We start from the raw sequence: 26,582 nt of genomic DNA on the forward strand, positions 1-26,582 counted from the left end.
TTTTGTATTTTTTAGTCTCAATTTCATTAATTTCTTCTCTGAGCTTATTATTTTTTTTCTTCTACTAAATTTTGATTTGGTTTGCTGTTGCTTTTCTAGTTCTTTAAGATGCATCATTTGGTTGTTTATTTGAAGTTTATTTTTTATATTTTTTATTTATTGCTATAAGCTCCCTGCTTTTGCTATATCCCATAGGTTTTCGTATGTTGAGTTTCCACTTTTGTTTGTTTCTTGAAATTTTTAAATTTTTTTCTTAATGTTTTCATTGACCCAATGATTGTTCAGGAGCATGTTGTTAAATATCTATGTGTTCATATAGCTTCCGAAGTTTCTCTTGTTATTGATTTCTAGTTTTATTCCATCGTGGTCAGATAAGATGCTTGATATGATTTAAATATTATTTGAATTTTCAAAAGACAGTTGTGGCCTAATATATGGTTTACTCTTAATAATGTCCAGGTGCTAAGGAGAAGAATGTGTACTCTGTAGCTGTTAGATGAAATATTTCATAAATGCCTATAGAATCATTTGATCTATAGGGAAATTTCAGTCAAATGTTTCTTTGTTAATTTTCTGCTTGGATATTCTCTATGTGTTAGAGCATTTGCATTCCTATAAGGAAATATGTGAGTCTGGGTAATTTCGAAAGAAAAAGTCTTATTTTGGCTCACAGTTCTGCAGGCTGTACACAAAGTAGTGTCAGCATTTGCTTCTGGTAGGGCCTCAGAAAGCTAACAATCATGGAGGAAGGTGAGCCAGCTTGTCACATGGTGAGCGAGGAAGCAAGAGAGAGAGGGGGAGGTGCCAGGCTCTTTTTAAATGACTAGCTGTCAAGCGTGAACTCACAGAGCAAAAACTCACTCATCACCATGGAAATGACACCAAGTCATTCATAAGGAATTCACCTCCATGACCCAACAACCCCCACCAGACCTTGCCTCCAACATTGAAATTACATTTCAACATAAGATTTGGGGAGGACAAATATCCAAACCATATCATTATCCAATGCTAAAAGTGTGGTGTTGAAGTCCTCACTTATTATTGTCTAGCAATCTATCTCTCTTTAGCTCTAATAAGAGTTGCTTTGTATATCTGGGTCCCTAATATTGAGTGCATATATATTTACAATTGTAATATAGATAATTTTAATGGATATAATATTTGAAGTTGAAAGGTTTTTTTCTTAAACATTTAAAGTATGTCATTCTACTCTCTTCCAGCCTGAAAAGTTTCTATTTAGAAGTCTGCTGCCAAATGTATTAGAGTCCCTTCATATAGTATTTCCTTCTTTTTCTGTGTTTTTAAGATCCTTTCTTTATCATTGACTTTTGAGAATTTGAATAATATATGCCTTTAACTAGTCTTATTTGGGTCGAATCATCTAGGTATTCTACAAACTTCTTTTACATGTATATTCATATCTTTAGGTTTGGAAATTTCTCTGTTATTATTTCTTTGAACAAATTTTCTACCCTAAACTCTCTCTACATCCTCTTTAAGATCAATAACTTAGATTTTTTTTTTCCTTTTGAGGCTATTTTCTAGCTCTTGGAGGTATGGTTTGTACTTTGTTCTCTTTTCTTCTCTGGCTGTGTATTTTCATATAGCCTGTTTTGAAGCTCGTTAGTTCTTTATTCTGCTTGATCCAGTTCAGCTCTGGAATTTCTGCTTGATTTTTTAAAAAATCATTGGGCTCTCTTTGTGAAATTTCTCTGATAGAATTCAAAATTCCTTCTCTGTGTTATTTTGAAATTCATTGAATTCCCTCAAGACAGTTATTTTGAGTTCTCTCTGAAAGATCATGTATTTCCATCACTCCAGGATTTGTCACTGGTGATTCATTTAGTTTGTCTGGTGAGGTTGGGTTTTTCTGGATGCTTGTGAATGGTCCTCAATGTCTGGGCATTGAAGAGTTAGGAATTTATTCCAGTCTTCACAGTCTGGTCTTTATAGCTGTCCTTCTTGAGAAGGCTTTCCACATATTCAAATCGAATTGAGTGTTGTGATCTAAGCCTGTGGTCAGTGCAACCATATGAGTACTAAAAAGTTCCCTAGGCCTAGGAATGCCACAACACTTGCTGAGTTCTAGAGGTACCATTTATTGGTTGGGTTGGGTAAAAAGAGAATTCCTTGGGTCACCCGGCAAAGTCTCTGGCTCTCTTCCTTCTCTTTCCTCCAGTCAGAAGGAGCCTCTCTCCAAGCTGGGCTGCCTGGAGTTGGGGGAGGGGTGATATAGGCACATCGTTGGCTACCACAGCTGGTGTTACACTAAGTCACATGCACCACAAGTCCACTGCCTCTAAGCCCAGGGTAGCTCCAGTGTTTGCACAAGTACTGTAGTCCTTGTGGTCTGACTGCCACTAAAATTGAACCCAGGACCCAGACCACTTTAGTCAGCAGTAAGTGGAGCCAGGCTTAGGTTCCTCCTGATGGGACTGAGAATTCCCCTCTGGCCCAGGGCTGGTCTAAATGTTCTCTCTGTGGGAACTGGCAGAATTCTGTTGTGTTCTGCTGTGAGAGGGCAGCACTGAGTTCCAATGCAAAGTTTCACATTCACTTTTCTTTCCCTCCCCCAAGAATACAGATTTCCTCTCCCTGTGGCACCGATGGATGATAGGGCAAGTGTGGTGTAGGAAATGCACAACTGTCTTTTCTACCCTTTTCGATGCCTCATTTCTTGATATTATATTAATATTAGGTACTGTTTTCACTCATCTGATTTTTTTGGTTCTTATGAAGGTATTTTCTTGTGTGGATAGTTGTTCAATTTGGTGTTCCAATGGGGGTACAATTGCTGGAGGGTTCTATCCAGCCATCTTGCTCCCTATAAAGATATTTTATAGCAGACATACTTGGAAGACAAAAATAAGATCTCCCTCCAAGCCAGAGGGCAGATTTGTTTGCTGACTAGGAGAAAAAAGAAATGCCTTCCTCTGGGCAAAGTTTAGGCAGACTTTCCAGCATCCTTTTAAAGATTTGGGGATTCCAAAGCTAAAGGTTTCTAATCTGTGACACAAATCTATTGTATGTGCTACATTCACCAGGGCCCCCTTGTGTCACCCAAGGAACTTCGGAGGCAAGAACAATTTACACAAAGATGATACCCATGCTTCTTATTATGCCATGAGTTATAAAGTCCTTTGTCTCTGTTCTAGGAATATCCTGTCTTCCTCTAGCATTTGTGAAACTAGAGTAGTCTAACTTGAGTAAAATCTCAGATCCTTCACAGTTCTTCACATAGCTCAGTAAAAAATGAAAACAACTTTTTCCAATAAGAAGCTCAGTGAAGTTTTTAAGTGCTAGGTAAAAATAAATCAGAATTTAACATGTTAAGAACAGTATACTGCACAAATAAAACAAGCGATCAATATACATGGAAATGTTAATAGTGGTTTTTCTCAGATTTACAGTATTGTGAGTAATTTTTTATGCATTTCACATTTTCACTTTTCTCATAGTAAGAATGTATTACTCTTATAATAAAAAATTCAATGATGTCCCAAAATTTACCATTTTTAAAATAGTATAATTGTATATTTTTAGTTATTTAAATGCAGTTAAAGTAGTTGAAGGAGTCATTAGCATATTTTTTAAATGAAGAAAAATGATTTCTTCTTTCAATCAATGAAAAGTCTGATTTAGCTTTTAAAAGCTATATGAATAAATATGAAAACAATAGCAAAAGCTTTTTTATAAAACATGTTGAATTCAAGATAAACTATAAAAAGACATTTTATAATTAGCAAATTTTGAAAGGAAAAAGAAAGGGTGGCTCAATGAAGGTTGTAGGCTGCCTTTCTAAAATAATGTTTTTCACAACCTATTTAATCATGAACCTTTAAAGGAATCATACCTGGAAAACTAAAATATAAAACAGATGAAAGGCAAGTTGCCATTGTTGAAATAGGGCTGAGGTGACACTTGCCAGCAGTCCCCTCTATGATAACCCTGGTCACAGTCTAAATGTCACTTTTCTGGAATATAGAAAAGAGCAATAAAATTAGAATTGAAAACGTTAATAACAAGGAAGCCATGGTATATACAAGCATTATTTAATTCTGTGGATAATAAAATATCCCAAATCCTTGAGATGAGTCTGTGAACAATAACAGAAAAGAAAGGAGAAAAAAAAATCAAAAGAAAGTATCTAAAGCCTAGAAGCTTATTCTGGCTAAAGGGCAGAGATTTATGTTGGCAGCAGCTAATGAAAAGAATAACAATGCTGTGTGGCAAGAAAGCAAAAAAAGAATACATTTTCATAATCACTACCTTACAATAAAAAAATCCTCAGATTTTGAAAGCAAAATTGTATAATATGACTGTGATACGCATAAGGTCCAGAAAGAGCAAAATAAGTTTTATAAGTCCTTAAAGATCAGTTTATTCATTGGAAATGGCATTATGTACATAATATACACTATAACCATATGTACAGGCAATTGTGCCATAAGAACAAACTTAAGCATGACATAGCTATAGAATACTAAACTGAAGAGAAACAAGACTAATTCCAAATGATATAAACCAGCTAGAATGTGATGCACACAGATGCAGTTAGTATGTTGAATGAGCAGGACTGGATTTAGAAAATTTAATTGTTCTCTCTTTGTTCATTTAAACCCATTTAGTGGAAAGATTCTTCCCCTTCCCCTAGATGAGATCTAACACAAGCCCAGTAACTTTTCCACTCATTCTCATATAATAAACAGGCCTCCAGGTTGAATAATGGGTATACACAGTCCTGTGTAACAAAAATAAATAAACTTGTTGAAGTCAACTTCAACTTTCATCTCCAGTTTAGGTTCAAGATCCTGAATCTCCAATTCTTTATTTTAAGAAAAGAAAGGAAGGGGGAAAAAAGCTGAAGAAATGAAAGTTGAAAGAAGAGAAGGAAAGAGAAAGGAATAGAAAGCAAGTCAAGCGAAAGGAAGATAAATATCTAAACTTCACTTAAAGGTAGAGCTCCCCACCCCACTTGGACCTGCTTCAAATTGGTGGGTTGAGAGTAGATATCCTTAGCTCATCTCTCTTTCCTGGTGACCATCTCATCCCCAGGAGGCCTCTGGATTCTGCAAGTCTCAAGAGAAAGGGATAGCAGGGGATGGGAACTAGAGGTAAGGTAAAGAAAATGTCATACTTGAAAGTGTCAATCTAATCTGACTTCCATTTCTGATGACTTCTGCAAACGTTTAAAGCAAACTGTTTATTTTATTATTTCAAGTTCTAGTATACATATGCAGGATGTGCATGTTTGTTAAACAGGTAAACGTGTGCCATGATGGTTTGCTGCACCTATCAAGCCATCACCTAGGTATTAAGCCCCGCATGCATTCACTATTTATTCTGATGCTCTGTCTTCCCCCATTGCACCCCTGACAGGCTCTAGAGTGTGTCATTTCTCTCCCTGTGTCCATGTGTTCTCATTGTTCAGCTCCCGCTTATAAGTGAGAACATGTGGTGTTTGGTTTTCTGTCCTTGTGTTAGTTTGCTGAGGATAATGGCCTCCAGCTCCATCTATGTTCCTGCAAAGGACATGATCTTGTTCCTTTTTATGGCTGTGTAGTATTCCATGGTGTATATATACCACACTTTCTTTATCCAGTCTATCATTGATGGGCATTTGGGTTAATTCCATGTCTTTGCTATTGTGGATAGTGCTGCAATGAAAATACACATGCATGTATCTTTATAATATAATGATCTATATTCCTTTGGTTATATACCCAGTAATAGGATTGTGGGTCAAATGGTATTTCTGGTTCTAGACATTTGAGGAATTGCCACACTGTTTCCACAATGGTTGGACTAATTTACATTCCCACCAACAGTGTAAAAGCATTCCTAATTCTCCACAACCTCACCAGCACCTTTTGTTTCTTGACTTTTTGATAATTGTCATTCTGACTGGTGTGAGATGGTATTTCATTGTGGTTTTGAGTTTCACTCCTGTGATGATCAGTGATGTTGATGTTGAGCATATATATATATATATATATATATATATATATATATATATATATATATATATATATGTTGGCTGCATGAATGTCTTCTTTTGAGAAATGTCTGTTCTTGTCTTTGCCCACTTTTTGATAGGGTTGTTTTTTTCTTGTAAATTTGTTTAAGTTCCTTGTTGACTCTGGATATTAGACCTTTGTCAGATGGATTTCATAGATTGCAAATTTTTTCTCCCCTTCTGTAGGTTGTCTATTCACTAAGATGATAGTTTATTTTGCTATGCAGAAGCTCTTTAGTTTAATTAGATCACTTTTGTCAATCTTTGCTCTTGTTGCAATTGCTTTTGACATTTTCATCATGAAATCTTTGCTCATGCCTATGTCCTGAATAGTATTTCCTAGATTTTCTTCTAGGGTTTTCATAGTTTTGGGTTTTACATTTAAGTCTTTAATACATCTTGACTTAATTTTTGTATTAAGTGTAAGGAAGGGATCCAGTTTCAATTTTCTGCATGTGTCTAGTCAGTTCTCCTAGCACAATTTATTAAATAGGGAATCCTTTCCCCATTGCTTGTTTTTGTCAGGCTTGTCAAAGATCAGATGCTTGTAGATGTGAAGTCTTATTTCTGAGTTCTCTATTCTGTTCCATTTGTCTATGTATCTGTTTTTGTACCAGTACCATGCTGTTTTGGTTACTGTAGCCTTATAGTATAGTTTGAAGTTGGGTACCATTATGCTTCCAGCTTTATTTTTTTGGCTTAGGATTATCTTGGCTATCTGGGGTCTTTTTTGGTTCCATATACATTTTAAGATAGTTTTTTTCTAATTCTGTAAAGAATGTCAATGCTTCTTGAATGGGAATAGCATTGAATTTCTAAATTAGGCAGTATGGTCACTTTCACAATGTTGATTCTTCCTATCCATGAGCATGGAATGTTCTCCATTTGTTTGTGTACTCTCTGATTCCCTCGAGCAGTGGTTTGTAGTTCTTCTTGAAGAGTTCCTTCACTTCCCTTGTTAGCTGTATTCCTAGGTATTTTATTCTCCTTGTAGCAATTGTGAATGGGAGTTCATTCATGATTTGGCTCTCTGCTTGTCTATTGTTGGTGTATAGGGATGCTTGTGATTTTTGCACATTGATTTAGTATGCTGAGACTTGCTGAAGTTGCTTATCAACTTAAGAAGCTTTTGGGCTGAGATGGTGAGGTATTCTAGATATAGGATCATGTCATCTGCAAACAGAGACGGTTTGACTTCCTCTCTTCCTATTTGAGTACCTTTTATTTCTTTCTCTTGCCTGATTATCCTGACCTGAAATTCAAATACTATGTTGAATAAAAGTGGTGAGAGAGGGCTTCCTTGTCTTGTGCTGGTTTTCAAGGGGAATGCTTCCAGCTTTTGTTCATTCTGTATGATATTGGCTGTGCTTCTTAGTGGCTTTTCTCTCTGGGGTGTGTACTGACTGCAGCTGCCATAGAAGTGGCGATCTTGTCTTTGGCTTACTGCTTAAATTCTCCCCTCAGGGTCTGCATTTGTCACCTCTCCTGATTAGGATGCCATTCCACATCTGGCTGCCAGGAATCACACACCTCGTACCAATCATCAGTATGAGCAATTTAATAACCCCACAAATCCTGCTCTCTGCTGCCTGGGCTCCTTCAGCCACTGTCACCTCTAGTTCAGTTTGTTTATAAATGTAAGTCATGCATTTGTCTACTGTCTTTCAAACACCCAGAGACACAAGTTAATTATCATAGCAGTGTTCCCTTGGAGGCCCTGTTCCCAAGGCTTAGGGTGATTGGTAAGTAAACTTCACTCTTCCCCACAGAGAAGCAAGGATATGGATCATGTCAGAACACTCGAACAACTTATCTAAAGGAATCCTCTCCCTAATCCCCAGAGCAATGAAACTTCAAACCTTTAATACCTCAAGTGGGTGAGTGTCTACAAAACCAGTCTTCAGATGTCCCTTTTCCAAGTCCTACCACTTTTTTTTAGATTGTACAGGGACAATTTATAATTATATAATTTTATGGGGTACAAAGTGGTAATATAATTTACTAATACAAGGCGGAATAATTAAATCAACAAGTATATTTAGAATGTGGAAACACTTAACCACCTGCAGGTTATTATATGTCCTTTAGGCTTCAACCAAAACTAAGAGAAAAATAGTACAGTTTTACATTTTGTAATATTAATTAATGAGGCAAAGATGATTTTTGTGCACATGAAATATTTCTCTTTCAGTGGTGACAGAAAACTATCTGAAATGAAAACGTGGTTATGAACATAGAGAAGACTGAAAGTGGGAAGAGTCCCTTCATGATATTAAGAAATAACTTAAAAACATCAGACAAAACTATCGGTGTATAGGAATGCTTGTCTGTTGTGACTCCGGGTGTTTGAAAGACAGTAGACAAATGCTTGACTTACATCTATAAACAAACTGAACTAGAGGTGACAGTGGCTAAAGGAGACCAGGCAGCAGAGAGCAGGCTTTGTGGGGTTGTTAGATTGCTCACACTGATGATTGGTATGAGGTGTGTGATTCCTAGGAGGCAGATATTCATATATATAATCATTTTATAGATAATACATATACACACACACCCCTCTGGGAGCCAGACATGTGTATATATATATATATGAATACACATGCACACACACATATATATATAATACTGGTAAAATAATAAATCACCTCTTATTAATACACTTAACTTTAATAAGCAAGATATTACAATACAGATTGAAGGTCAAATTTTAAACTCAAGCAATTGTCTCCCTGAGGTTGAACTATAATATCTCCTGAAGTTGAACTATAATATCTCCAATATTCACACCACACATCTGACATATGCACACATGCTGTGCTGATCAAATTGATGGTTATTTCCTGTGATTTGGAAGTGGTTCAGAACACAAAGATTCTAAGTGTTTCTGAAGGTTTGGATAATGACTCTGGAACTTGGGATACCACAGTAAAACAAAACCAAACACAAAATATGTGTAGTAACAAAAAGCAAAGTGGATAATTGAAACAATTATCTTGAGTATTCGTGACTAATTTGTTGAAATAATCCACAAAATATTCAGATAATAACAATTACAGACTGTGAATGTGAAGTGTCTGGAGAAAGGCATCATCTCAAACCAGCACTACACTGTTTGGCAATGAAGTACTCCCGTTTTGAGGGGGAAACAAGGCTCTCTTTAACAATTTTTTGTTTAACATATGGTTACTGAAGGCAAGCCTCTTTCTGCAGAAAGAAACACTTAGGACCATATGCAAAAAGAACTGAAATATAGTAGAAGGATCTGAAGACACAGGACATTCTTAACACACTGATTTACCACTTGATAATGGGAGCAAAATGTTTAGAATTTTCTGAAGTTTGTCCATCCAGGAATTGATTTCTCTATTAATTATTTCTTCCCTTTTTCTTTTCCTTCCCTCTTTCCTTTGTGTCCTACTGAGTTGATAGAAGTACTCAAGTATGTTGGAATATATTTTTAATAGATATTTTAAATTTTAGATTAGTTTTTGATTTGCAGAAAATTTGGAAAAATAGTTGCCTTATACCCTCACCTGGTTTCCCCATTGTAACATCTTACACTACCAACGTACATTTGCAACAACTAGGAAACTAACATTGGCATATTACTATTAACTACACTTAGATTTTATTGAATTTTCAAGTTTTTGATTTTTTTTCATTCCAGGATCCCACCCAGGATTCTATCTAGGATAACACATTACAATTAGCCATCTTGTCTCTTTAGTCTCCTCTGATCTGTCACTGTTCATCAGATTTCTCTGTTTTTTTATAACCTTGACTTTTTTTTGAATACCAGTGAAATATTTGGTACAATATTTCTCAATTTCAGTTTGTCTGATGTTTTCTTATCATGGCTCAGCCAGAGTTTTAGGTTTCTAGGAAGAAAAAGGTAAAAGTGAAGTCTTCTTGTAGAATAATAAGATAACATGTTATCGACTTAATCACTGATAATATTACCCTTGAACACCTCCCTGGCCAAGGTAGTGTTTTCCAGATTTCTCTGCCATAAATGTATTTAGTTTTTCCTCTTTCCATACTCTACTCTTTGGAAATAAGCCACTAAACACAGCCAACAGTTAGGGTGGAGGGAGAAGAGTAAAACACAGTTTAAAGCACATCACTGTCCTTAGTAATAATCTTGAATGTGATTCTTCCACTGGATAGAAAATGTATAAGTTTGGCTGCGTTATATTTTGAGAGGAAAGCAGAGCTATTCCATGTAGATTTTCATATTGTTCAAATTCAGACAATTTTGCCTTCTTCTTTGTTGATGCTCAGTGTATATGACACATTAAGGTAAATATTTCAAAAATAAATTTTAATATTTAAAGGTAGTAGAGTAAATTTGTAAATGCACAATACCTAATATCTGACAGTAATTTGGCAGTATGTCAGTGGTCTTAAAAGCTGAATATACTTACAACTAATATATACCAATATTCAAAATAATTATTTTTATTACATTATCACTTGTTAATACATGTTCTTTGTAGGACAATATAAAATAAAAGAAATATAAAGGAAATTTAAATTCTGTCTGATGTAAATGCACAGAATTATAATTACCTGGGCATCAATTATGTGTATGTATAAGTCTTTCTACTCAATGCTTTTTAGAAAGATTGTTCCAATTTACATTTTCTCTTACCATACAGTAAGCACCCTTTTCTTCCATAAGTAGTGTAAAAATCAGTATACCCTATAAACCATAGGTCAACTTGTCACAAATAATTGGAAGTATATTTTTAGCTTACATTTGTAGAAACCATGCTGCGTATATTTGGCACAGAATTTCCTCTTGCCAAGATAAGGTTTCTCACTATCCACGTTCCATCTATCAAATGATGTGATTCCTTGTACGTAAAGAATAATCAAAATACTGCATCAAAAATGGAGGTAACATTGCTAGTTGAAAAATAAATTTAAAATGTGACATAATAGAACACCTTAAAGACACATATTAACTTTCAATACAGAATAAGGTTTTCTACAATTTAATTGAAGATAATACCATTCACTTACATAATCAATAATTATTTATTGACTACTTACTACAAGACAATAACTCTTCTAGTTAGTTTTAGGAAGAACCGCCTGCCTTTTCAACGTCATATCAGAGAATTGTTTAACAGGCACACCCAGGATTATTGAACTATCTAAGTGAATGTGCCTTTGTTTGACTTGCTAGTTCCTGTTAACTAGTGCTCACATGTTATGACATTAGTTGGTACTTGCAGATTTTTGCCTAGTAGAGATTTGAATTATTTTTTTCTGATAAAAAATTTAGCCCCAAGTTTATGACTGTATTGCCCTGAATGACATTAACCACTTTTATACCTAAGTTATCCATATTATTCTATCTTTAGTGCCTAATATACTCAGTTTCTCAAATGTGTTTTACCAGTTTTACCACCTTGTCGGTCCATTTATTAAAAAGCCAAATAAAATTTTAATGCGGGTTTATTCAATATCGTTATTTACTTTGGCAGAAGGACGCCTTAGTGAACAAAGCAGTCAAAAAACCATGTGTTCTTTTAAACTGTACCATAGTGCGATAGAAACAATACAAAAATAAGTAGGATATATTGTATGCTGAACTTGATAATTCATTTTGTGAAATAAAAGTAAGGAATTGGGGAAAGGAATGCAGGATTGGAAATGGTAATGTAAAATAGGATGGTAAGACAAGATAAATAGGATATTGTGACACTATTTGAGAAAAAGTGAGAGAACAAGTCACAGAGATTTTGGGGGGAAAAGCATTCCAGGCAGGAAACAGTATGTTCAAAAGTCCTGTGGTGGGAGCATTTCCAGCCTGATGGAGACAAGCTAGCAGGAATACATGGAGGCAGAAGAAAAGGGTGTTATAGACTTTGGGGTTTACTGTGATTGATATGGGAATTATTGGAGGTTTCTGAGCATTGGCTGACATAAGCTGATTTCCTTTTTGATAAGATTATTCTAGATTGTTAAGAATAGATTGTGGGAGTCAAAGGGCAGAAAAAGAAAAACCAATTGGAAGGCTATTGCAATAGCGTAGGTGAGAGATGGTGGGGGCCCGGACCAGTGTAGTAGTGACGGAGGAAGTGAAAAGTATTCTTTTCTGGAATATACTTTGTCATATGTAACAAAATAATGGGCCATCTACAAAAGAGATTCATTAGTCTGTCCACAGGGGGAAAAAGGCAGAGCTAGGGTATGAAGGAATCAGCATTATGTCAATATAGTAGGAAGTAGAAGAAAAACTGAACAAGAAAGAGGAGAAAACCTTTATAAGATTTCCTTTACGTAGGAAATGAATTTTATGCTACCTTAATTGAGGGATTTTGTTAGATTTTATTTTCTGATGAAAAATACAACATATGGCCAGATGTGGTGCCTCTTGCCTGTAATCTCAGCACTTTGGGAGCATGGCAGGAGGCTTGCCTGAGCCCAGGAGTTTGAGACCAGCCCGGGCACATAGTGAGAACCTGACTGTACATAAATTAGCCAGGCATGGGGTACATGCCTGTAGTTTCAGCTGCTTAGGTGACTAAGGCAGGAAGATCACTTGAGCCCAAGAGGGGGAGGTTGAGTCTGTAGTGAGCCATGATTGCACCACTACACTCCAATTTGGGGGACAGAGTGAGACCCTGTCTCCAAATAAATAAATAAATAAGTATAATATAATATATGCCTATTAAAGAGCAATGGAAAATACAAAACCTGTATGTATTGTCAATTTTCCTGCTGCTATAAAGATACTATCTAAGACTGAGTAATTATAAACAACAGGAGTTTAATTGACTCGCAACTGGGGAGACCTCAGGAAACTTAGAATTATGGCAGAGGCCGGAGAAGAAGCCAGTATTTTCTTCACAAGGTGGCAGGAAAGAGAAGATAAGAATGAAGGAAGAACTTCCAAACACTTTTAAAATTATCAGATCTCTTGAGAACTCACTCACTATTATGAGAACAGCATGGGGGAAACAGCCCCCATGATCCAATCACCTCCTTCCCTTGACATATGGGAATTACAATTCAGGATGAGATTTGGGTGGGAAACAGAGCCGAACACTATCTATGTACAAAGTGTAAAAATAAAAGTGATTAATATCTGAAAGAGTACAAGAGAAATTCATGCAGTAAAAGCCTTCAACTCAAATACTGGAACAGTGTATTTGGAGTTTTGGTTTTGTTTTAAATTTTAAGTCAATCCACTAGCAAATAATATCTTAATAGGGAGAGAAATACATAAAACTGTCAAAGGCAAAGCTTCTTTACTTAAAGCTGGGATTTGGGAACAAGAACACCAATTGGTTAGAAATTTTTCCTCTGCACCAATCCTTGATGCATCACTGGGGCCATTCAGGGTTCAAGAGAGCATAACAGCTTCTCAAACCTATTGTCTCTCCACTAAACCCAGATAAATACATACTTTCATTAAAAAAATATATTCAGTTACATATTTTTTCAATAGATTATGGATTAAGAAAATAAAATCTAAAGCAAAAGAAAAAAAAAGTTGGAGATACTCCTGAACTAATCTTTTTTCTATTTAGCATTGTGAATAAATTAAATTATTCTAAGGGTTTTAGAAGAAGCTGTCCAGTAAAAGCAAGCCTGGGCTACAAAATGGGACATTAGTTCAGTAAGCCAGTCCAAAATGTGCTACATATTTATTTCTCTGATTCTCAGTAATGTTATCTGTCAAATTTAGTGGCAAGATTACAGTAGACTACTTTCAAAATACTACAATAATTTCTTCACAAAGGAGTTAAAATTTTGGATCAGATTTGAATTTTTTTTTTTTTTTTTTTTTTTGAGGCAGAGTCTTGCTCTGTAGCCCAGGCTAGAGTGCGGTGGTGCAATCTCGGCTCACTGCCACCTCCACGTCCTGGGTTCAAGCGATTCTCCTGCCTCAGCCTCCCCAGTAGCTGGGATTACAGGCGTGCACCATCACACCCAGCTATTTTTTGTATTTTTAGTAGAGATGTGGTTTCACCATGTTGGCCAGGCTGCTCTCGAATTCCTGACCTCAGATGATCTGCCAGCCTCGGCCTCCCAAAGTGCTGGGATTACAGGCGAAAGTCATGGCACCCAGCCCAGATTTTTAAAATAAAAATAAAATGTCAGAAAAGGAAAAAAGCATGATTTACATAGTATGTGCTATTGGGCCTCTATTCTGTTATCCATCTCTCAAGTGCGAAAAGTTCTATAAAAATAAAGAGCATATTGAATTCATAAATGAAAAATTAGGAAAGGGGGAAACTGGACTTTTTGGAATGTCCGTTAATCATCTAGTATTAATCTTATCAGATTGTGGTCAATCAACATCACTATCTTTGGCTTTATTTTAAAGATAAAAACAATTAAAAGTTTTAGGGAGACCTTAGGACAGATAGAAAATAAAATGTCACCCAGGAATTGATTAACATTCACTATCTATCTATATCTATCTATCTATCTATCTATCTATCTATCTATCTATCTATCTATGTAATAGATTGTTTTACATGAAACTGGGTCATCACATGACCAGGTTCAGTACTTTGCTACAATACAAGAAAGAAAAGTCAAGAAAAGTCAAAATTGAATAACCTTGCTCAGGACTATAGACCTTTCCTGAAGGCCTCTTTAGTTATCTTTTCTTACTAATAAAGCCTCATCTTGCTTACTTTCCTTCTGCCTTTCTCCTCAAGCCACAAAACTGCCACCAGCCCTATTGCTCTCTTCTTATCTTAACATACGGGATCCCAACCTCTTCCCATCAAACACACACACACACACACACACACACACACACACACACACACTCAGAGTAAATGCTTGTACTTTCTAAAATACTTTGATCTCCCCATTCCTTTAGCGTCTCTCATGTGAATTCCTGTGCATGACCGGCAAAATTTTTAAAAATGCTTTTTTAAAAAAGAACCTTTCTAAGGACTCACCTTTAATAATGGTGAGGGTGGGTGTCATTTTTAGTACTTAAGATTTAATGTTTTGTCCCTGTCACCTACATTCAACAGAAATAAATCATGCAGCATATATTATAAAACATTTTTATAACTTCTCTCCTTTTGGCCAAGAACAGGTGTATTATAACATATGTCTTTAGTTATAATTATGTTATTTTTCTTATATTTTAAATATTTATAACAATATTTCATTTAAATGACATTCGGCATTTATGGTGTCTCTAACTTTCTTTGATATTCAAAGGTACAAATGGGTTCAAATATTTAATAACATCTGTAATCTCTTAGGAAAAATTCTTAGAAATCAAATTTGAAGATCAAAGTACATAAATATTCTTAGGGCTGCTAATATATATTACCAACAGTCCCTCTGGAAAGCTTATGGATATTGATTGTGTTGCCTACCAAAACATTTTCACCTCTTATTTCTCAGATCTTGTTTAGTCAAGTTATTAGTTTTATTGTGAGCTGATTTAGTCCATTTTATAGTTTTTAGCCAATTATAGTTAGCTCTCAAATTAGACTCTAGGTAACTATTGCTCGTTTTTATGTTACAGGTCCTTAATATAAAAATTTCTAAGACAGATTCAGCAACTTAAGTAGTTTCAGCAGTTATGGAAAACATCCAGGCTCTTTAGTATTTAATCACTGCCTTCTTTGTATATATATACATTTTTTTTTCCTGGAATGGCTTTCAATTACTATTTAAGAATGCATAGATTCAGAGATTTAGTATTTCTGCTTTCAACAATTAGACAATAACAATGAAGGTCTAGGTCATAAAATTATTGATAATTTTGAGGAAGCAGATATTTGAATGGGGCAATGTTAGTTTAGGTTGGGAGTGAGTCATTTAGTTAACGTGTCTGCCTCTCTCTGCACGTTTGATTCACTGGCAGACTCTTCTCTGCTGTCTCTAGGGAGGGATTAATTCTTCTTTTTACTGTGAGAAAGTGAGAAATAGGACCTAGAATAAAAATTCACCTGATAGAATTGGAGCAGAAACAATAGAGAAAATGAGTTCCAAAAGGTTATGGATATTGTTCAAAAAATGGAAGTCTTTGTTAAATCAAGTGGCAGAAATTCTAATTTGGTTGTGGATCTTGTCTAAGGTATTTTTACATTTACTCCATGCTGAGTATAGAAATCAAGGCAATTCTTGCGCTTTTCAGCAAGGGCCCTGACAACATGGTTCATCAATATAAAGGTGAAACCGTGGAGAGTTTAAAACTGACTAACCTGGTTTTTGAGGATATTGACAGCACGCACCTCTCTTTTAAAGAAAATGTAGTTCAAGTGAAAACTCAGGAATCTGTACATAATCACAAACCTTCTGAACAACATATTACCATAAATAAAAGTTGATGTCAGAATTTCAAAAAGAAATTAACAAGAGAAGCAGCTTTAGCCAAATATGTGCCTGCCAAAGCATAGCATCCATAAAAGAGAAGGACCATAGGCCAGAAACAAATAGTCAATGAAGACAAACCTGTTTGTATTGGAAGAAAGTACCTTCCTGACCAGGAAAGCATTTAATTCATGCAGTGCTCAGCAGTAATAATCATTCATCACCATTGATTCACTTTGCTGACTCAGAGAAGTTCATAGTTAGGTTACTACAGTAATAATGTAATGTACTTTGGAGTTTATTTTAATGGCATAATTAATTTTAACAGCTTTATAAATTACTTTAGTTCTGTATTTATAGAACCATTAAGGTTATGAAAGGGTCAGTCATATTTTCAGTTATACTTTACTGCATTTATAAAGCAAATTATATGTTATGTTGGTATGGGTGAAATAACAGATTCCAATAGCTGTAAGAACATAGCACTGAAAAAATCTACTATCTTCTGAAACAACTTATGAGTTTTCACAACCCCAGCTGTAACTACTAGTTTATTTTTACACGTAACTGACTATTCTCCCCAACATCTGCTTTCTCCTGGGAATCAACAAATTCTGAGAAATCTAACCACCTTTAAAAAGAAAAATGCTGATTAACTAAAGGTACAACCAGGCTTCTTTGTAAATGCCTTCCTTATTTTTCTTTTTCATCCATCATGTCCTCTTGGTTTAAGCATAGGCTGTGACCAGCCGCAGAAGATATGAATTAGAGAAGCAAAATGATAAAGAAAAAAACATACAAAATGGTTACTCCCTCCAACATATGAAGTGTAAGAGTTATACTCAAATGCACACAAAGTACACTTGCTTATCAAAAAGGATATAGGAAAAGGCGTGCTCTATGGTAACAAGGTTTTACAATACTAGAGATTTTATATGTTGCCACTTTAAGCTCATGTTTAAAATTAATTGAGATATTGTCTTAAGAATAAATATCTCTCTGACTAAGGATCCTAGAAAAATAAAAAGACACTGTCAAACATATTTCCATAAGCAGCAAATGAACCTTGCTTGCAGCCATAAATCATTAATCTTTAATCACCAGCCAATTTCTCAATAAGCTCATTGGCATGGAAACTCTAAGATACTCAGAGGATAGTTCTCACAGAACTGGCATGCATTGTTGGCTTGTGTGTTTAATTACTGTTTATGCATCAGCAGAATCCAGGCTTTTGTATGTAATAAATAGAATGCTGTCATAGTGTCCAGATGGTTTTAGATTCAAGGCCCAGGGAGCATGTTTGGAGATTATACTACTGATTTACTCCCTGTTTGCACCAGTTGAATTGTAAAAAATCATGCTAATATAATAGCAGGCGTATCAAGAATTCTGAATTGTGGAAATAAATGTATTGCTGTAGTGGTAATTTTGAAAGTCATTTAAATTTAACTGTATCTTATCAGAAAAGGTAAAGAAACCTCGAATCTAAATTTATTCCTTTGTCTAATATGATGTTCCTTTATTTTTGAAGGAGATTTAGGGAGAATACTGCCTAGAGTCCAATAACTATTCCATAAAATTCAGCTTTTAAACTAAATGAATAGGCTGGGTGCAATGGCTCATGCCTGTAATCCCAGCACTTTGGGAGGCCGAGGTGGGAGGATCACCTGAGGTCAGGAGTTTGAGACCAGCCTGACCAATATGAACAACCCCCTTCTCTACTAAAAATACACAATTAGCCAAGCATGGTGGCGCATACCTATATTCCCAGCTACTCGGGAGGCTGGGGCAGGAGAATCACTTGAACCTGGGAGGCGGAGGTTGTGGTGTGTCGAGATGGCGCCATTGCACTCCAGCCTGGGCAACAAGAGTGAAACTCTATCTCAAAAAAAAAAAAAAAGAAAAGTAAATAAATAAATAAATATAGGAACATAGTTGTTTTCTAATAACACCTTAAAACAATCTTTTCATAAACTAAAAAAATTCTCATTATGACAGACTTCTTACTGATAAATTGTAGGAGTAAGGAAAGTGTATCCACTGAATCACATTTCTCTCACTTTTTTTGGCTTATTTTAATATCACAACTTGGCTTATTTTAATAACACAACTTGTAGTAAAACCTTGTGTTTTTACTAACACAAGTATGAAATTAAAAGTGAATTAGATAAAATATTTACCCATTGATAAAATATCTAATATTGTATTCGATACAATATTTACCTATTTATTGATTGATATTTGCCTATTTTCTCATATAAATTATCACTTTTTTGAAAATTTAAATCCAAACCTTAAAAGTCTACTTTTGCTAAAATAATAGAGATTTTTCAATATTTGAATAATTTAAGATGTTTTAATATTATTCTAACTGGTTTGAATCCTGAGTTTAGTTTTTTCTACTTTTACTTTAGGTTCAGAGAGTACATGTGTAGGCTTATTACCTGGGTAAATTGCATGTCACTGAGGCTTGGTGTACAAATGATCCTGTCACCCAGGAAGTGAGCATAGTACCTATTAGGTAGTCTTCTAACCCACGCCACCCTCCCAATCTTCCCTGTCAAGCAGTCCGCAGCGTTTATTGTTTCCATCTTTGTGCACACCTGTATTTAGTGTTTAGCTCCCACTTAAAGAGAACATGAGGTATTTGGTTTTCTGTTCCTGCATTGGTTTGCTTAGAATAATGGTCTCCCGCTGCATCTATGTTGCTGCAAAGGACATGATTTCATTCCCTTTTATGACTGCACAGATTCCACGGTGCATATGTACCACATTTTTTTTTAAATCCAGTACACCATTGATGGGCATCTTCATTGATTCCATGTCTTTGGTATCATGAATAGTGCTGTGATGAACATACAAGTTCATATGTCTTTTAGGTAGAACAATTTCTTTTCCTTTAGCTACATATCCACTAGTGGGATTGCTGGGTCAAATGGTAGTTGTTTTTAAGTTATTTGAGAAATCTCCAAACTGCTTTCCACAGCGGCTGACTAATTTACATTCCCAAAGCATTCCCTTTTCTCTGCAACATCCTTATCATCTGTTGTGTTTTGACTTTTTAGTAATAGCCATTCTGACTGGTGTGAGATGGTATCAGTTTTGATTTGCATCTCTCTAATAATTAGTGATGATGAGCTTTTTTTCATGTATTTGTTGTCTGCATATATATCTTCTTTTCAGAAGTTTCTGTTCATGTTCTTTGCTCATTTTTTTTTCATGAAGCTATTTGGTTTTTGCTTGTTTATTAGGCCTTTATTGGATGTATAGTTTGCAAACATTTTCTCCCGTTCTCTAGGTTGTCTGTTCACTCTGTCAATAGTTTATTTTCCTGTGCCAAAGCTCTTTCTTTTGATTGGGTTCAACTTGTCAATTTCTGTTTTTATTGCAATTGCTTTTGGGGAGTTAGTCATAAATCCTTTGTGAAGGACAACATCCAGAATGGTATTTCCTAGGTTTTCTTCTAGGGTTTTTATTGTTTTAGGTCTTATATTTAATTATTTCGCCTGTCTTAGAGTTAATGTTTCTGCATGGTGAAAGAAAGGGTTCCAGTTTCAATCTCCTGCATATGGCTAGCCAGTTATCCCAGCACTATTGATTGAATAGGGAGTCCTTTCTGCATTGCTTGTTATTGTCAACTTTGCTGAAGATCAGGCTGCAGGTGTGTGGCTTTATTTCAGGGTTCTCTAGACTTTTTGATTGGTCTATGTGTCTGTTTTTGTACTAGAACCATGCTGTTTTGGTCACTGTAGCCTTGTAGTATAATTTGAAATCAGGCAGTGTAGTCTTCGGCTTTGTTCTTTTTGCTTAGGACTGCTTTGGCAATTCTACCTCATTTTTGGTTCCTTATGAATTAATTTTTTTTTTCTAATTCTGTGAAAAATGACTTTGGTAATTTGATAGGAATGGCATTATATCTATAAATTGCTTCGGGTAGTATGGTCACCTTAACAAAATTGATTCTTCTTGTCTCTGAGCATAAAATAATTTTCTATTTATTTGTGTCATCTCAGAATTTTTTCAGCACTGTTTTGCAACTCTCATTGCAGAGATTTTTCACCTTCTTGGGAAGATGCATTCCTAGGTATTTTATTTTATTTTATTTTATTTTATTTTATTTTATTTTATTTTTGTAGCTACTGTGAATGGAACTGGATTCCTGATTTGGCTCTGAGCTTACATATTTTTGATGTATACAAATGCTACTGATTTTTGTACATTAATTTTGTGTCCTAAAACTTTACTGAAGTCATCTGTCAGTTCTAGGAGCCTTTGGGTGGAGTCCTTAGGGTCTTCTAAATACAGAATCATATCATTGGCAAACAGAGATAATTTGACTTCCCTTTGAATTTCAATAATATTAGAATTTTTATGAGAAGGTTCTAACTGTTATTAGTCAAGAGGACACAAGGACCCAACAGAGAACTCCTTGTCATGGTACATCCACACTGGAAAAAACTGTTTAGTAGTATGTACTAAAGCTGGTTATGTACTTACTTATGATTTAGCAATTCTATTCCAAGTTTATATTCAAATAGATATTAGTTCATATGTTGACAAAAAGACATGCTAAAATATTTATAGTAACATAATTCATAATATTCCTAAGTGGAAACTACCCAAATGTCTACAAACAGTATATTTACAGCAATGAATATAAAATATGACGTGCAAAATATGAGTAAGTCTCACAAAAAACATAATATTGAGGAAATAAAGGTAAGCATGAAATACACTTTGTAATGATACCTTGTATTTAAAGTTCGAAGAGAGTTATAACTATGCAGTTAGAAATCAGTATTTTTTTCCTACTTTTACTTTAGGTTCAGATGGTACCTGTGCAGGTAACCCTTTGGTAGGATCAATGGCTAAAAGAAGACACAGTGGGGATTTCTTATGTGCTAGTAATGTTCCATTTATTGGTCAGGGTCCAATAAGCATAACAGTATGTATGTAACACACATGTATGTATGCATGTTACATGCCAGTAGAAAGTTTTAAAATATACTATTTTGTGACCTTATTATAAGCTGACAAATGCATTATGCCAGTTTTACATATTACATATTTAGGCCTAAATTTGGTATAAATAATATAATTTAAAGAGCAAAGTGGTAGATTATCTTAATATAAAATATATGTTTATATATACTTTTATACATGTTTATAAGGTTTTATAAAATAAACATGTATAGTCATTTATAGCATACAGCTGCTAATTCTTTATGAACAGCAATAAGAACAATTTATTTGTAAGTAAACTTCTTACCATATCATAATACTGAAGTTGGTTTACTTGTTTTGCTTATTGGGGTTTTTTTTGCTTGTTTGTTTTTGTTTTATTGAGATGGAGTCTCTCTGTGTTGCCCAGGCTGGAGTGCAGTGGCACAATCTCAGCTCACTGCAACTGCACTTCCAAGGCTCAAGTGATTCTCCTGCCTCAGCCTCCCAAGTAGCTGTGATTACAGGTGTGAGCCACCATGCCCCGCTAATTTTTGTATTTTTAATAGAAGCAGGGTTTCACCATGTTGGCCAGGCTGGGCTCGAACTCCTGACCTCAGGTGATCTACCTGCCTCAGCCTCCCAAGGTGCTGGGATTACATGGGCGAGTCAGTGCACCCAGCCACCCGCTTTTTATATGATTAAAGATGTACACTCAAAAATTTAAAAGATGTTTGATCATAAAAACAGAAATATGTTTTAATTATAGGTTCATCATTTATATCTACATTATTCAAAGTGAAATACACACAACTGTTTTGTGTTCTGCAGAAAAATGGCTCACTGAGAGATTGATATTGCCCAAAATCTTTGGAATTGAGTAGCTGGAACACCATGTGTGGGATGAAGAGACCCCCGAAGAATTTTAGGAGAAAAAAATTGATAAGACATTATTACTAGTAGTAAATCTCTGCATCCTTGATTATATTTTCTACAATCGACTAATCCCTGAATTTAAAAATCACTGCTGAATAAAATATTGGAGTCAACAGTAAGATACATTTTGGGCAATTTTGCTGAGCAAACATACTTTGACCCTAGTGTTTAATATTTACACATAGGAATAATATAAATAACACTATGAAGTAGGTATTATATCCCCATTTTATAACTAAGGAAACAAAGATATAGAATGGTTAAATGCCATGTATAAGGTGAATAGGATGTAGTAGATTCTGAATTCCAGACAAAGAATATTTGATTTCAGAGCCTATGCTCTTAGCCATCATGCTATACTTGCTGCAATAGAATCAAAACATTCCACAGAAAAGTGTTGCAGACACTTTGGAGCCTAAAAATATAATTTCCCATCAGTTCAAAATGGTGGCTAAAACTCAGCATAACAGAGGTAAATATTTTTTATATCTTAATATGGCAAAGGAAAAAATAGACATTCTTTTAAAAGCTCAGAAAAGAGAAATTGACATTTAGCAACTGCTTTTGAAAGTCCACATACTTTCAAAAAGGAATTCTGCCTGGAAAAGGAAACCCTCGTGCTAGGGTTGAATGACTTAAAGGCTTACCACAAACTTCATATTTAAAAGAAATAAGAGTAAATTGATGAAATGAAAACAAATACAAAACTACAGTTGAGTAAAGCCTACAAGATAAACTGATTCCCAGATACCATACACACTGTATTTTATATCTTTACTGCAATGTTTTTACTTTGGCTGTAATGGCTTCAACTTATAGTGCAGCCTATATTCTCTCTACTTATCTAAGCTGATTCTTCAGTTAGGATGCATTAAACATTTGCAATATAGTATAATCTAGAATAAAAACTGTGAATTAAAAAATACATAATATTGGCCAGGCGCAGTGGCTCATGCCTGTAATCCCAGCACTTTGGGAGGCTGAGGCAGGTGGATCACAAGATCAGGAGATCAAGGCCAACATGGTGAAACCCCATCTCTACTAAAATACAAAAAGTTAGCCAGGCGTGGTGGCACGTGCCTGTATTCCCAGCTACTCGGGAGGCTGAGGCAGGGGAATTGCTTGAACCTGGGAGGCAGAGGTTGCAGTGAGCTGGGATCATGCCACTGTGCTCCAGCCTAGTGACAGAGCAAGACTCTGTTTAAAAACAAAAACAAAAACAAACAAACAAACAAAAATATATTTTCTATCCTCAAGATACCCTCAATCTGTAAGACCAATTTCACTTGTAATAATGATTTTAATACAGTATAATTGCTTTTATTTCATACAGTAAAGGAAAGATGACATTCCCCACTGCCCTTCTCAGAAATCACTTAAAGTGGTTAGAAGAGCATGAATAAAAAACCCAAATATCTTCTATGAAATAGATAGATAACTATATCTCTGGACTAAGTAGCAATCAAGGTCAAAAAGAAGTGTCACACGACATTGAGAGAGGACATTCGTCACTGCTGACATCAGATAATGCTAGTAGAAAATCATACTTTGAGAAATGTGGCACATACCTGAAGACAAAACAAAACAAAACAAAAAACATAAAACAATAACAACAAAAAACCTTGTCTAGAACAATGAAAATCATCACAATTACTTGCTTGAAAAACTTTCCTAAACGAAATAGACAAGTCAAATTTACAGAAAGAGGTTTATAGATGAAGCATGGTGAAAAAGAACACACTGTAAGCTGACCCATGATTTCAAACCTCTGTGGCATGAAGAGGAGTGAAGCCTAAATGATCTCTCTTCTCTCTCTCTCTGACACACACATACAGACACACACACACCCACACATCTGCATCACAGAGAATTCTTGCTAGTCAGAAACTAGGTTCTATCTTTTTCTCCTCAATGTAAGTTTCTTGGTCCAAGACAATCTCTTAGAAAGGAAAGTCATAATCAAAAGAAACCTACAGGAACATAAGATGTTTCATGGCAAAAGGAGAAAGGAAATAAGAAAGGCAAATGGCAAGTAAAAATCTTAGCCAGAAAAATATTTTCATACCATAAATCAAGCTTATACCCATACACATGGTCATGAATATACAAAACAATACAGAAATCATAATTATAAAATAAGGAACTAAGGCACAGATACAAGAATTCAGGGAAAATATGGCAAGACAAAAATAAATAAACCAGGAACTGGTAGAGCTCAGAAGAAATGCAATAAAAATTCAAACTAATAGGATATGACAAATGTTATAAATTAACTGACATTGGCTGGGATGAGAGGGAGTCTTTAAAGAAGAGAAAAAGTTTGATAGGGATATTAAAGTGTGAATGGATATGAGGACAATCAGAAGACAGAAAGAAGTCTGGCCAAAGGTAATATAAAGAAAGTCTTAAGTGTATTTTCAGGAAACTAAAGAGGATTACTTATATCTGAAGTGCAGGCTATGAAAGAGAAAGATGATGGATGGGACTGGAATTACAGAAAATTACTGGATTTTGGAGAGTATTTTATATACTAATGAATATAACTTCGTGTTATTAATAAAGATGATCCACTGTTGGTTTAAATCAGAGGATTAACATGATGATTCTTATTTTAGAACAATCACCCTGCCAATAGGTAGGTGAAAACATTGATAAAAAATAGGGGGCAGATAAAGCTGTGAGAATAATGGAAGTTTCTTTCAGTAATCCAGATAAGAGATAATGTTCATAATTGTTGACAATGGCTGTAGGGATAGAAAATAGTAGCAAAAATCAAGAAATATTTAATGAAAAACATCCACAAAATTGTGTGATAGATGGAATATAGCATGTAAGGAAAAAAACTGAAGAATAACTCCAAGTTTCCAAATTGCTTGATTGATTTGTTGACGTTGTAACAATCAATATAGAAACACTGCTGGATATACATGTTTGGTAAAGGGAAGCAGGAAGAAGAGATAATAAGTTACCTTTAAGTGAGCATATTATAATAAACCAAAGTAGTACAGATAATAAACTGAACCAAAAGCTAAACATCAAAAATACATTTGACAATTTTTGGTTATTAATTAGGAAAACAATCATGTTTTCACATCATATTTTATAAAGAATTTTTACCTAGCAAGGTTTTAAATGTCTTGGAATATTAAAATTATCATGAACTCTGCCTCTCAGAAGCAGTAAGATCTCAGAGGAGAATTCCCGCAGAAATTACAAAATTTTGAAAAGTCAATCTTTTGGGAAATCAGCCTAAAATATTGAAATCATGTTATAAACTTGGCTAGAAAACATTAGTACTTTCCAAAAAAATACTTTTCTTCTTTTCTTTCTAAAGTTAATATGTTCTCTGTTAATTTATTATAACAAAAGTCCATGTCATAGCAAACACTTTCTACTTATTTCAAACTTTCATTTAACTTTTAGTTTAACATTGACTTACATGGTAGATATAAACCAGATTTTCTATTGTGCTCTAGAAATTTAAGGATGCCTGGGACGTGATTCAATAAAATGCCGTGAAATGTTAGCACCAAGCAAGGCGGTCAGTGACATGGGAAATGCAGAGAAATAAAATGGGTTTCTCTGTTCACAGGCTATCAGCTCTGTATTAAATAGCACCACATTTATTTACTTACCTTTAGTGTTTCTTACTATGATGTAATGAAAGAAATACTTTGTCTTTTTCTTAGCATGAGTCTTTCTTTAAATGCTTTTCTTGGCTTTGCTTTTGTGATTTACTTTTCACCTTTATTTTTATTTCTATTTTTAATTTTGATGATGCTTCTTCCTACATAATTATGAAAGACATAACTTTTGAACAGATGTATAGTAATATATTTCCAATATATACAGGTCACAGCACAAAAGGCTTAGAACAGAAAGAGATATGTGATAGCTTTAACATGTGTAATTAGAATTAGGTTGAAAATGGTAGGTATCCATAAGAAAATAATGTTCCTGATCATGCAGAGCTGTGCTGGTGGCTGTGGGATAAGCAAAGTTACACAAGAAAATCTCTGCCCTTATGAAGTGTATAATATTCTTGCCATGAAAAGTAGGTGCTATGGACTGAACTGTGTTCCCTATCCCCAATTCATAGGTTGAAGCCCTAACCCCCTGGTATGACTGACTATATTTTGGACTTGGGCTTTTATGGAAGTAATTAAGATAAAACAAAGTCATGAGGGTGGAGTCCTGATCTAATAAGATTAGTGTTATAAGACAAGACACCAGAGAACTCGCTCTTTCTCACCTCCATCCTGTGAATAGAGTGAGAAGGCAGTGCTATAACAGCCAGGAAGAGGGTTATCCCCAGAATCTGGCCATGCTGGTTCCCTGATTTTAGACTTCTAGGTTCCAGATCTGTGAGAAAATATGT

The sequence above is a fragment of the Homo sapiens genome, chromosome 8 (genome assembly GCF_000001405.40).
Source record: "Homo sapiens chromosome 8, GRCh38.p14 Primary Assembly".
Taxonomy (NCBI): domain Eukaryota; kingdom Metazoa; phylum Chordata; class Mammalia; order Primates; family Hominidae; genus Homo; species Homo sapiens.